At 41.7% G+C, this 13865-nt stretch overlaps 1 annotated feature.

Annotated features, from left to right (window-relative positions):
• Positions 5214 to 5380: a silencer, noted in NCBI's record as "fragment chr2:7318185-7318351 (GRCh37/hg19 assembly coordinates)". NCBI's record gives its function as "represses an EF-1alpha promoter that drives an FKBP-Casp9 reporter gene in an ReSE screen in K562 erythroleukemia cells {active_cell/tissue: K562}" and the evidence as "EXISTENCE:reporter gene assay evidence [ECO:0000049][PMID:32094911]".

Genomic DNA, 13865 nt, shown 5'->3' with positions numbered 1-13865 from the left:
GTGGGTGTGTGGAAGAGTACAATATTGATAGGCTCTTGGTATCCTTTCCAATCTCCTGCTTGTGTGTCCTTCTGTATTTCACAAACTAGAAACATGAAAACCACATTTCCAAGACTTCCTGGCAGCTGGAGTTCTGGTCATCAGTTAGGTTGTCTGAATGAGATAAGTGTGAGCAGGTCATTATCAGGAGGCCAGAGCGAGGGGGAAGCCCTCTGACTGCTGCTTTGCTGTTGCCTCTGGCGAGAGAAGTCCTAAAGAGCTGGGTGTTCGGCCGCAGCAGTCAGGAGCTCCATCGCTGCTGAGCGGTAGCTGCCCCCTCAGTTCTGGGCCGCAGCAACAGCAAAGTCTCCTTAAAGCCCAGGCGCCCAGTGTTGCTTTCTGATGCCCTCATGTTCTTGATTGTGGTTATGCCATGTTCTGGGAGTTACTCTCAACCTAGAACCTGTGTCTCTAGCTTTTCCCACAGTGTTGAAAGAGCCCAGTTTTTTTCTATTGAAATCCTTTCTGTTTACAATAGTGAGGGTGGTCCATTTTCCACAGGTGAGCACTGAATTTTACTCGTGGCATCTCAGTGATAGAAGATGGGAGCCATCCACACAAAGGGGTATTTTATCACTGACGTTATTAAAACTCTTGGCGCATGATGATAATAGAAACAGACTGATTTTAATTGGTTTCATTGTTATTTTTAGATTATCTAAAAGCAATGCACCTATTGCCTGCACCTGGGGTGGACTATTACCACTTCCCCATTTGAGAATACCTGGCTCACAAAATCCATACATGTAATTGCTGTCTGTTACTCACAGAAGCACATTTCTAAATCATCTAATCACACTTAGGTCCTATGTACTCTTAATTTTCATACAGCTTTAATAAAATTTATCTGATTCTCCCATTCTCAAAAAATAAGCCACAACAATTTAGAAGAGCTGGTGAATAAATACCAAGATAGGTACAGTGAACCAGGATGAGAGTTAATATCTTAGCTGGAAGGAGCACTGCATTGGAGAAAGGTCATCTGGGCTATAGCCTTACTTCTAGTTCCAAATAGCTACATATTCCAGGGCCAATTATTTTTGTTCCACAAAAAATATTTGTGTGCCTGTTTAGACCGACCACTCAGTACTAGAACACAAATGCCCTTCCCTGACCATCCTTCCCTCCATGAAAATACTATTCAAACCCCTTAACAATATTTTTTCCTTGGGACAGTTATAACCATCTGACATATTAATTTAATTGTTTGTGCATTATTGTATCCTCTGCTAGGATATTATCCCCTTGAAGTTGGGGAGTTTATTTTGTATATTTTCAATACCTAGTGTATGGCAGATGCACCCGATAGCAATAAATTAAGAAATGAGGGTGGCCCCGTGGAGCTTGTTGGGGGAGGATGGTGAGTGAGGGTGCTATAAGAATGCATGCTTTCTGCAAGCAGCCTTGTGGTTCCCTATTCAGCCACTGGACTGTCCATGCATGTAAGTTCCCCTAATAAAACCCTCTGTCTGGTCTGCTGGCTCCCAGATTCTTCTTTGGCCTCTTGAACCTGGTCCCCTCCCTGCTGAGATAAGAGGGCTCTGGCATGACACTGGATCAAAAGCAGCACCTGACATCTGCACAGTAAATATTTGATGAATGAAACTATCTCAGAATGAATAAGTTAGAGTGCATTTTCTCAAAGAACTGACCATGTAGAGAAGAAAACTAGACATGTATATTGATGATTTCAATCTAAGCCAGTGTAGGCCAAGAGCCACCAGCACGATTTAAAGAAACGCCAGTAAGAGATTATATTAATCAGCTATGGGGCCATGTGTTTTACCAAAAATGGAGTAGACGTGAGTAAAACAAGAGAGAAACTCTTTCTCTCTGACGTGACAATCTGAACTGGTAGTTGTCCTAAGGTATCGCACAAGGGTTCTAAAAACCCATATTCCTTCTAGCTTGATGCTTCACCTTCCAGTAGAGCATTCGTTTAACTTTGGAAACATATTGAATTATCTGTGCTGGGGAAGAGAAGCAGGGTAAAGAAAAGGGAAGGAACAAAACTATCCGAGTCCTAGCTCTAGAGATTCTGGTATTGTTGGTGTGAGGTGTTTATTGTTAAAGACCCTCACGTGAGTCTAATATGCAAGCAAGATTGGAAACCATCACCCTGTAGGGTTGTACTTATTCCTGTATTCAAGCAGGCTGAAAGGCAGCAGAAGTCAGCAGCAACCCCTACGCACATTCCTGATGCACCACACTTGCCAGAACGGGGTGTGTTCTCTGAAAGCTCGGGGCAGCCCACAGTGACCTGTGTGCAAAGCAAAGTGCTAGTTTTTAACCAGGGAGTGGGAGGAATGTGCATCCCCATAGGCAGGTGATGGAGATCGCATCAAGGGAGGGTGTGGGATACTTGTTCTAGTCGGCACTGCTCCCCAGCCCGCTATCTACAGCTGGAGGAAACTGAAGAATCAGAGGCCGAGGAGCTCAGCACCTTGCACAAAAAAGCTCCAGGTGCACTTGAACACCATCAGCATACGAGCCAGTGCTCTGGAATGAGGGCCCTGGCAGGACAATAATCTGCTGGGATTGTATAATAACATTTACACCAAGAATGACTAAGGCTGAGACAAAGGTAATGCAAACCATGACTCTGCAAAAACTTGGCAGAAAAGAAGGAAAGATCAAAAGACAGCTTTGTTGCCTGTGGGGAGAATTCCAGAAGTTGTCACATGGTAACATTTTAGTTCCACTTTTGTAGGAAGGGACTCACTGTAGACAAAATTATAAAAATAGTAATTCAGCTTCTTTCCTTTTTTTTTTTGGACCAATGCTCCTGCCTAACCTAACACAAGGAGTTTGACCTATTCTTGAGATGAGCTTATTTACCACAAACAAGAAAATTTATTTCAGAGCTATCAAAAGCAACATCTGTATTGTTATTCTTTGACAGAAAGAGGAAAGAGCCACAGGGGAACTAGCATTTGATTTATTGAATTCTCCCTGAACTCCAACCATTTTTTTATTTGGTTGGCAGAGAATTTGGGGGAAATGCCTTATTATTATTATTATTATTATTATTATTATTATTTCTTTCTTTTTTCTTTCTTTTTTTTTTTTTTTCCGAGACGGAGTCTCGCTCTGTCGCCCAGGCTGGAGTGCAGTGGCACAATCTCAGCTCACTGCAAGCTCCGCCTCCCAGGTTCACGCCATTCTCCTGCCTCAGCCTCCTGAGTAGCTGGGACTACGGGCACCTGCCACCACGCCCGGCTAATTTTTTGTATTTTTATTTTTATTTATTTATTTTTTTTATTTTTAACCAATAAACTTTTTATTTTAGAAGATTTTTAGATTTACAGCAAAATTGCAAAGATGTATGGAGTTCCTATATCCCACGCCCAGTTTACCCTATTTATTAATATCGTACATTAGCATGGTACATTTGTCATCATGAATGAACCAATATTGGAACATTATTACTAACTAAGGCCCACACTTTACTCAGATTTCTTTAGTTTTCACCTAATGTCCCTTTTCTCTTCCAGGGTCCCATACAGGATCCCACATGACATTCAGTTTTCTTCTCTCCCTCCGTAGGTTCCTCCTGGCTGTAAGTTTCTCAGATTTTCCTTGGTTTTGATGATCTTGACAGTTTTGAGGAGTGCCAGTCAAGCATTTTGTAGACCGTCCCTCAGATGGGATTTCTTTCTTAACGAACCTAGCCTGAGGTCCTGGGTTTAGAGAAGGATGGCCGTAGCGGCAAAATGCCTTCTTCACTGCATCATACCTACTATCATATCATACTACCGACATGACTTTTATCACCGTTGGCGTTGACCTTGATGGCCTGCCTGAGTGAAACACATTTCTAAACTTTCCCTGTTGGCATAAACAAGGATACAGGGCGTGATGACTTGAGTCCTGATGGTTTCCAACGTCAATCATGGTGGCGAGGCTGAGTATTAAGGGGCAGGAAAGGCACGTTCTTTCCAGGAGGCCCCATCAAGAAAGCAGGAAGAACTCTATGCCAGAGCATAAAAAACTTCAAGGCGCCGGCACGGTGGCTCATGCCTGTAATCCCAACACTTTAGGAAGCCAAGGCGGGCAGATCACCTGAGGTCGGGAGTTCGAGACCAGACTGACCAACACGGAGAAACCCTGTCTCTACCAAAAATACAAAATTAGCCGGGCTTGGTGGCGCATGCCTGCAATCCCAGCCACTCGAGAGGCTGAGGCAGGAGAAGCACCCGAACCCGGCAGGCGGAGGTTGTGGTGAGCCGAGACCGTGCCACTGCACTCCAGCCTGGGCAACAAGAGGGAAACTCCGTGTCAAAAAAAAAACAAAAACAAAAACAAAACAAAACTTCAAAGCATATTAGAAATTTAGAAATACATTCTTCAAATGTATTGAGGTAAGACTACTACCCGCACTTTACAGAGGAGGAAATTGAGGCACAGTGCCAAACACACCACCAAGCCGAGATGCAAATCCACATTGTCTGGCCACAGGGTCCAGGCTCTTAATTACTACCCACTGACTCACCAATGCGATCCTTTGTCTTAACTTGCATTTCCCCGATTACTGGTGAGAATGGGCATCTTTTTTTGATTGATTGGCTATTGGACTTCTGTTCAAGACCTCGATTTGGAGAGGTGTATAAAGGGGGATCCATGAGGAACAGGTTCAGGGTGGGACAGCAAGTTTTCAGAGTCAGAGCTGGCAGAGACCTGGTGGGGGGGCATCTCCTGCTCAGAGTCAGGGCTGGGTAACATCGCTGGTATCAGCACCTAGAATCATCTCAGAGTATAATTTAGGCAATTAGCCACCTTGGCTAGGGTGGCCAGATTTTGCAAATAAAAATACCAGATGTCCATTTAAATTTGAACTTCAGGTTAAGAACAAATAAGTATGTTCCAAATGACATCGAGATTTGCCTGAGGATCCTGTATTTTATCTGACAGTACCCACACTGGCTGCCTTAGCCTTCAAGCCTGGTTTTCCAGCCTCCCTGGAATTTCTGTGAATTACTAAGTAACTCTTTTTTTTTTTTTTTTTTTTTTTGAGATGGAGTCTTTCTCTGTCGCCCAGGCTGGAGTACAGCGGCACGATCTTGACTCACTGCAACCTCTACCTCCCAGGCTCAAGCGATTCTCCTGCCTCAGCCTCCCAAGCGGCTGGGATTACGGGCACGCACCACCACACCCGGCCAATTTATTTTTATTTATTTTTAGTAGAGTCGGGGTTTCACCACGCTGGCCAGGCTGGTCTCGAACTCCCGACCTCAAGTAATCCACCCACCTCAGCTTCCCAAAGTGCTGGGATTACAGACACAAGCCACTGTGGCCGGTTCAGTATCTCTTTCTTTATTTTATTTTATTTTATTTTTATTATTATACTTTAAGATTTAGGGTACAAGCGCACAATGTGCAGGTTAGTTACATATGTATACATGTGCCATGCTGGTGTGCTGCACCCATTAACTCGTCATTTAGCATTAGGTATATCTCCTAATGCTATCCCTCCCCCCTCCCCCCATCCCACGACAGTCCCCAGAGTGTGATGTTCCCCTTCCTGTGTCCACGTGTTCTCATTGTTCAATTCCCACCTATGAGTGAGAACATGCAGTGTTTGGTTTTTTGTCCTTGCCATAGTTTACTGAGAATGATGATTTCCAATTTCATCCACGTCCCTACAAAGGACATGAACTCATCATTTTTTATGGCTGCATAGTATTCCATGGTGTATATGTGCCACATTTTCTTAATCCAGTCTATCATTGGTGGACATTTGGATTGGTTCCAAGTCTTTGCTATTGTGAATAGTGCCTCAATAAACATACGTGTGCATGTGTCTTTACAGCAGCATGATTTATAGTCCTTTGGGTATATACCCAGTAATGGGATGGCTGGGTCAAATGGTATTTCTAGTTCTAGATCCCTGAGGAATTGCCACACTGACTTCCACAATGGTTGAACTAGTTTACAGCTCCACCAACAGTGTAAAAGTGTTCTATTTCTCCACATCCTCTCTAGCACCTGTTGTTTCCTGACTTTTTAATGATTGCCATTCTAACTGGTGTGAGATGGTATCTCATTATGGTTTTGATTTGCATTTCTCTGATGGCCAGTGATGGTGAGCATTTTTTCATGTGTTTTTTGGCTGCATAAATGTCTTCTTTTGAGAAGTGTCTGTTCATGTCCTTCGCCCACTTTTTGATGGGGTTGTTTGTTTTTTTTCTTGTAAATTTGTTTGAGTTCATTGTAGATTCTGGATATTAGCCCTTTGTCAGATAAGTAGGTTGCAAAAATTTTCTCCCATTTTGTAGGTTGCTTGTTCACTCTGATGGTAGTTTCTTTTGCTGTACAGAAGCTCTTTAGTTTAATTAGATCCCATTTGTCAATTTTGGCTTTTGTTGCCATTGCTTTTGGTGTTTTAGACATGAAGTCCTTGCCCATGCCTATGTCCTGAATGGTAATGCCTAGGTTTTCTTCTAGGGTTTTTATGGTTTTAGGTCTAACATTTAAGTCTTTAATCCATCTTGAATTAATTTTTGTATAAGGTGTAAGGAAGGGATCCAGTTTCAGCTTTCTACATATGGCTAGCCAGTTTTCCCAGCACCATTTATTAAATAGGGAGTCCTTTCCCCATTGCTTTTCTCAGGTTTGTCAAAGATCGGATAGTTGTAGATATGCAGTGTTATTTCTGAGGACTCTGTTCTGTTCCATTGATCTATATCTCTGTTTTGGTACCAGTACCATGCTGTTTTGGTTACTGTAGCCTTGTAGTATAGTTTGAAGTCAGGTAGAGTGATGCCTCCAGCTTCGTTCTTTCGGCTTAGGATTGACTTGGCGATGCGGGCTCTTTTTTGGTTCCATATGAACTTTAAAGTAGTTTTTTTCCAATTCTGTGAAGAAAGTCATTGGTAGCTTGATGGGGATGGCACTGAATCTATAAATTACCTTGGGCAGTATGGCCATTTTCACGATAGTGATTCTTCCTACCCATGAGCATGGAATGTTCTTCCATTTGTTTGTATCCTCTTTTATTTCATTGAGCAGTGGTTTGTAGTTCTCCTTGAAGAGGTCCTTCACGTCCCTTGTAAGTTGGATTCCTAGGTATTTTATTCTCTTTGAAGCAATTGTGAATGGGAGTTCACTCATGACTTGGCTCTCTGTTTGTTTGTTATTAGTGTATAAGAATGCTTGTGATTTTTGTACATTGATTTTGCATCCTGAGACTTTGCTGAAGTTGCTTATCAGCTTAAGGAGATTTTGGGCTGAGACAATGGGGTTTTCTAGATATCTTTAGTAGAGACGGGGTTTCACCATGTTAACCAGGATGGTCTCGATCTCCTGACCTCGTGATCCGCCCGCCTCGGCCTCCCAAAGTGCTGGGATTACAGGCGTGAGCCACCGCACCCAGCCCCTTATTATTTTTAATATCAAAATTGTTTTGACACGTCTCAGAAACAATGGGTGAAAAAAAGGGACCCTCTTTGATATGCAGTTGTGTAAATGTGAATACAACACCTTTGCAATACACAGCAAGCAAAAGTTGCCCAGAGGTGACGTGTACAACAAAAGTCTAGGAAACCCTTTAGTCCTTGCTTTCTTTTTAATGAGTGTTTTTTATCTCCCCAAAAAATCTTTAATTAAGCAAAGGAAAGCTGTAAGTCTAGCTGCATAATACATTAACAGTGAGGTTCCCCTTCAAATAGCTTGACATGTCCAGAGCTTTACAAAGAACATCAACTTACCTGTTGGCCAGCTTTGCTAACTACATATTAAATTTCAGAATGATGGTGAAGAAGCCCAAAGATTTTGTTTTCAGATTTCATATTTTAAAAACCGTATTTGATGCACTTTCTAGCAAAGCAAACATGTCCAAATGCTCTGGAATCCATGGCCTAAAGGTCATTTGGGTCCAAGCGTCACTGTTTTCTAATTGTAGGAAAAGAAAGTATAAATGGCATGTAATAATCTGTTGGGAAGTCATGGGGAAGTTGGGAAGAGAACACAGAAAACACAATAGGCTTTGGATGAGACAAATCTACCGTGGGTCAATCATTCCTGTTCTTCAGTCCAGAAGCACAGTTTTGTTTTGTTTTCCCAATAGCTCCAGGCCTTTGATTCAATTTGTTAACTCTATCTTGAATGGTCCAATAAGTCCCTGGATATGCCAATAAAATGCAAGTTTTATCAATAACCAAACATTTCCACTAGCCAGCATTTATGTTTATACTCTTCCTTAGAGCAAGCCCTCCTCTCAGAATCATTTTAAAAATCCACATTTTATTAGTCTAGGTTTTCCATAGATAGATAGATAGATAGATAGATAGATAGATAGATAGATAGATAGTCGGTAGATGATAGGTAGATGAGACATAGATAGATGATAGATAGATAGATGGTAGGTAGATGATAGGTAGATGAGAGATAGATAGATAGATAGATAGATAGATAGATAGATAGATAGATTAGATGATAGACACTAGAGGTTATTTATTATGGGAATTGGCTCACATAATTATGGACATGGAGAAGTCCCATGATAACCCTCTGCAAGGTGGAGATCCATAAAAAATGGTGGTGAAATTCAGTCCCAGTCCAAAGTACAAAAACAAACAAACAAACAAACAAAAAACCAAGAGCTCCAATGTCCAATGGCAGGAGAAAATGGATGTTCCAGCTCAGGAGAGAGAGAGTAGGGAATTTGCCCTTTCTATATCCTTTTTTCTTTCAGGGCTCTCAAAGGATTAGATGATGCCTGCCCACATTGGTGAGGGCTGATCCTTACCCAGTCCACTGAAACAAACGCTAGGCTCTTCCAGAAACTCCCTCATGGACACACCCAGAAATAATGTTCACCAGCTATCTGGGTATCCCTTAGCCCAGTCAAATGGACACATAAAATTTACCATTGCACACATATTTCATGCTTCTTGTTTCTCTGAACTTTGGGTCAGCATATATCTGGCTGTTAATTTGATAAGTGTCTAGGACCTCAGCCCAGGCTCAGAATGTCAGGCCCATCCTTCAGGCCTTGGATTTGCCTGCCCATTAGGTTATATTCTCTCATTTTCTTGATAGGAGACTACAAATGTCATTTACTGGTATATTTCACAATAATACTGTGGCTACTAAGTGAAAATATAATGCTTTGTAAATATGACCCTGGCTTGCTTTTCAGAATAACATCAGTTTGAAAACATTCAGGCCTACGTAGTTCCCAGACATGCTCCCTGTGTAAGAAGTAATGGAAACAGGGAGATTGGAGAAGCCAAGGCCCTAGGATCCCTGGAAGATTGTTTATTTTAAAATATGCAAGTTTCTCAGGACAAAAGGCAGGATGGCATTACAGGACAAAATAATATATGTGTCTTTTTTTATGCATCTTCACTTGAAATGTTACATTCTGCAAATAAACACAGAAATAAAAGGGTTTTGTGCCACACAGACTTGGCTTCACATCCTACTGCTGCCCCTGGAAGCTTTGAGAACTTTGGTGAGTTATTCAGCCTTTAGAATTATTGGTTTCTTCATAAGACACATGGAGACAATTAACCAGATTTTTGGGGTAGCATTGGATGAGGTAACACAGTAAAGATTCTACCACTCAAGGTAGAATCTCATCCTATTTTTGTCCTGCTCACTACACTCTCCACACTTGAGTTTGGGATAAGGAGGGAGGGCTTCCTCGAGGAGATAATATGACAAATTATTAACTACCTGCCTAATTTTTGTTTTTTGATTTGCATTCACTAGAGGACACAGCTTTATGGCAACAGAAATAATATTTATTTCAACAGCCACTCCCTGAGACCCACTACTTAAATTTCCTAGCTAAGCAAGAGATCTATTGTGCAACATGGTGACCATTAATAACAATTGTGTTGTATATTTGAAAATTGCTAAGAGAGTATATTTTAAGTGTTCTCATCACAAATAAATGATAAATGTGTCAGGTAATACATACCTTAATTAGCTTGAGTCACCCTTCCACAATGTAAACAACATATTTCAAAACATTATGTTGTACTCCATAAATATACACAATTTTGTTAATTAAAACATGTAAAAAATAAAACTAAAAGAGAAATTACCAGCTAAGGAATACAATGAGAAATTAAGATGTCATACCACCTTGTCTCAAGAGTCTTATAGAGGAGTAAGGTAAGTTTCTGACAACATATAATGTAGGGAAAATAAAAAAAAGCTTCAAGAAACAACACCAATGAGACTAGAGCCCAGGTGAAAAACAGTTCCATTAAAAAATATCAAGGTAGGAAGGATGTGGGATCCAAACTGGTCCTTAATATCCTGGCACCTAAACATTTAGAGTCACCTGGGTGTTCAGGAAAAGAGCTTGTGGGTTCATGTGTAGCTCAGTACTCACCACATTTTTTGGTAAAAAAGAAACCTTCCTTTCTATTTTCCCTCCAAAGAACCATGTTGGTCCAAGCAAGTTATCAAATGAGAGGAAGAGACTGGATGATTTTTAGGTTCATATCAAAAGAAATGATATCAAGTTCAATCCCTCCACCGTGGATCCTGGTTTCCCAGGAGCTTGCTCCCCAGCCTAGATTTCATACAGGTGAGAAGAACACAGGGGTTTGTCAATGAGCTCTGTCTTCATTAGAATGAAAAAGGATGAAGACTAATAAAGAGGGAAACAATGAATCAACACAATGTATCTGAAAACTGGCCAAAGCCATGCATTCATTTATTTAACAAATATTAATAGAGTACCCATATGCCAGGCATTGACCTTCCTACGGGGGACAGAGCAAAAAAAAACAACCCAAAACCTCTACCTTTGTATTTTCAGAGAGCTTGTATTCTTGTGCCAACAGGCAGGGAAGAAAAAGAATAAATAAATAGGTGGAATGTGTAATGTATTTCTTCATGATATTTGCCATAGAGGAAATAAGCCAGGGAGGGGATGAGTAGAGTGAGAAAGAAGAGAGGTGATGTTACCTGCCTGGGCTAGGAATCTTCATTGAAAAGGTGGCATTTACAGAAAGACTTGAAGCCAGTCCGGAGCAAGCCATGCAAGGAACCTGTCTTTGGAGAATAACCTGTGGTGAGTCGGGGAAGGTGAGGATAAAATAAAACCAAGTGACAATTGCTACAATAATCCAGGTGGCCAGTGAGGTGGTTTCTGGCCAAAGGAACCAGAAGAAGGGGATTATCACTACCTGTAAAACGAAGACGCTACAAATGGCAAGTTGAGGCGTGAGAGAATCAGAAGTTTGGTTTTGGATACTATGCTTATTTTCTAGAACTGTCCTAACAAAGTACTACAAGCCAGGTGGCTGAAAACCTCACCATTTTATTGTCTCTTAGTTCTGGAGGCTAGAGGTCTGAAGTCGAGGTGTCAGCAGGGCTGTGGTCTCTTTGTGGATTCTAGGAGAAAATTATTCCTTGCCTCTTCTAGCTGCTTTGGTTGCCAGCAATTTCTTTCATTCCTTGGCTTGTGCATCCATGACTCCCATCTCTGCCTCTTCTTCACATGACCTTCTGCCTGTGTCTGTGTCTCTTCCCCTCTCCTCTAAGGTCACTGGTCATATCCAAGCTTCCAGAAACAATGCCAATGAGACCAGAGCCCAGGTGAAAACTGGGCCCTAGTCACATTCTGTGCATTTTCAAATCACAGAAGCCAAATTAGGTGGAGGGATTTAACTTTATATAATTTATTTTGGAAGGAACCTAAAAGTCATCCAGTCTCTTCCTCTCATTTGATATCTTGCTTGGATCAAAATGGTTCCTTGGAGGGAAAATGGAACGGAAGGTTTCTTTTTTACCAAAGAGTGTGGTGAGTACTGAGCTACTACACATGAACCCACAAGCTCTTTTCCTGAACACCCAGGTGACTCTAAATGTTTAGGTTCCAGGATATTAAGGAACATCGTGATTACATCTGCAAAGACTCTGATTTTTAAGGGAAAAGTCCCAGGATGTCTACATATCGTTTTGGAGACACAATTCATCCCACAACAGACATAATGTCATGTTTTGCAATTAAATATATAAATGTCCAAGAGATAGGGATGAGATCTCTCCAAGAGAGAGATGTCCAAGTAGGGGATATTAACATGGAGGTCACTGCTGTAGGCAATAATTAAAGCCACGAGATTACATGGGAGCATGATGGTAGAGAAGGTTGTTACTGAAAACAAAGGGCCAAGGCCGTGCTTGCATTTGGAAGTCAGGAAGGAGAGGAGAATCTGGCAAATGAGGCTGAGGAGGAGCTGGCAATGAGAGAGACAGAAGCCTGGAGAGGTGGATCCCTTAGAGCTAAGCAAAGAAAGGGTTTCAAGGAAAAGTGAGTAGCAGAACAATTAACATGGTGTTCAGAAAACAGCAAGAAATATGAAGATGGGAAAGCAAGGAGTGGGAGTTGTGGCCTGGGTACCAAGACAGTGTTTTGTAAATTCCAGGTAATCAATGAACCTAGGCATGAAGGAAGAAGCTTCACACTCTGAGGGACACAGCCTGGAACTCATCCATTCAACAGACACTTACCAAGTGTCACTCTTTGCATCACAGCTCCCATCCTGCTTCCATCTTCATGTCTCCTCCAACTGTCCAGCCTTTCCCTTCACTCACTAAGACCATGGAGATTACAATAGGCCCATCCATGCAAGAGAAAATCCAAAATGTGCCTTACAATGAGCCAACAGAGAGGAGAGACAGAGAGAGAGAGAGAGAGAGAGAGAGAGAGAGAGAGAGAGAGAGAGAGAGGAAGCCCGGTCTATATAATAGGCATTGTTGCCAGGGGACAGGGAATGGTGCAGGAACTATCTTGGTCACCAGTTCACAGCATGTGGCCTAGAATACATCCTAAACTTCATAAATGTAAAGTCATCCAAATGCAATGGTAATTGAACTGGGAGAAGGCAGAAGACTGAGGTGCCCCTGAGGAGCTCAGTTGAGGTTCGTTGAGGTTTGCAGTGAACAGTGAAAAAGGAATTGGCTTCTGTGATTTGGTGCATTCAGACACCAGCTTCGCTGCAGCAGCAGTCAAGAGGGAAATCAAAGGACTGCCATCTACACCAGCAACATTTCTCACTAGCCACAGAGTAAATCCAAAATAGAACTGGGATTTTACAGTTGTCCCAATGTTTGCCTTTTTTAAAGAGTAGAACTGGAAACCGTGAAATATTAAATCAGGGTAATGATGCTCTGGTAACTTCAACACAAATAGTCTCGTGCTACAGAAAATCATCTTTTTTTTGGTGTTTGTCAAAGTAATATTGAATTACATATTTTTTTGAAAAAAAAAAGGTGATGTGTTTAAACACTGTCCTTGTGGCAGCCACCTGTTTGTGGTGAGGTATCTGAAAACAGGCAGATATGTATTCCTGGCAAATGCACGAGCATTCTAATGCCTGTGATAATGAAAACTATAATAAATATTAATACATCAAGGGTTTGATGGTGAACCTTAGCTTTCAATCACTAAGAAATACGCCTAGTATTCTGATGAATTCAAGTTTTCTATGCTTCATTTCAGTGCAAAGTGGATTACAGCTTTTTAAAAGTAACGTGAAAGTGTATTTGCTCAAGGGGTTGGCTCCAGGGAGCAGGAAGCATGCTCCTCTGCTTAAATCCTTTTAGTCAATAATTCAAAGATCGCTCTTGGGGAAGCGCGTGTTAAACTTGGCCTCCATGCAAAAACAGTCTCTTGAGCAAAGGGTGCTTTCTTGATTCACAGCTGCTTCTGAACTGCCAGGTGGCAGCTACAGACTTTTTCTGAAAACTGCCTTTGGATAAAAAATTGAACTCTCTCTCCATTTCTGCTCCAGGATTCTGCCTCCCAAATCATCCATGAGCAACGCAATCCTTGCCTCTCCACCCCACGGGTGCCTTCACCA

The sequence above is a fragment of the Homo sapiens genome, chromosome 2 (assembly GCF_000001405.40).
Source record: "Homo sapiens chromosome 2, GRCh38.p14 Primary Assembly".
NCBI classification, from domain to species: Eukaryota; Metazoa; Chordata; class Mammalia; order Primates; family Hominidae; genus Homo; species Homo sapiens.
This window is presented reverse-complemented; position numbering and strand designations above follow the sequence as displayed.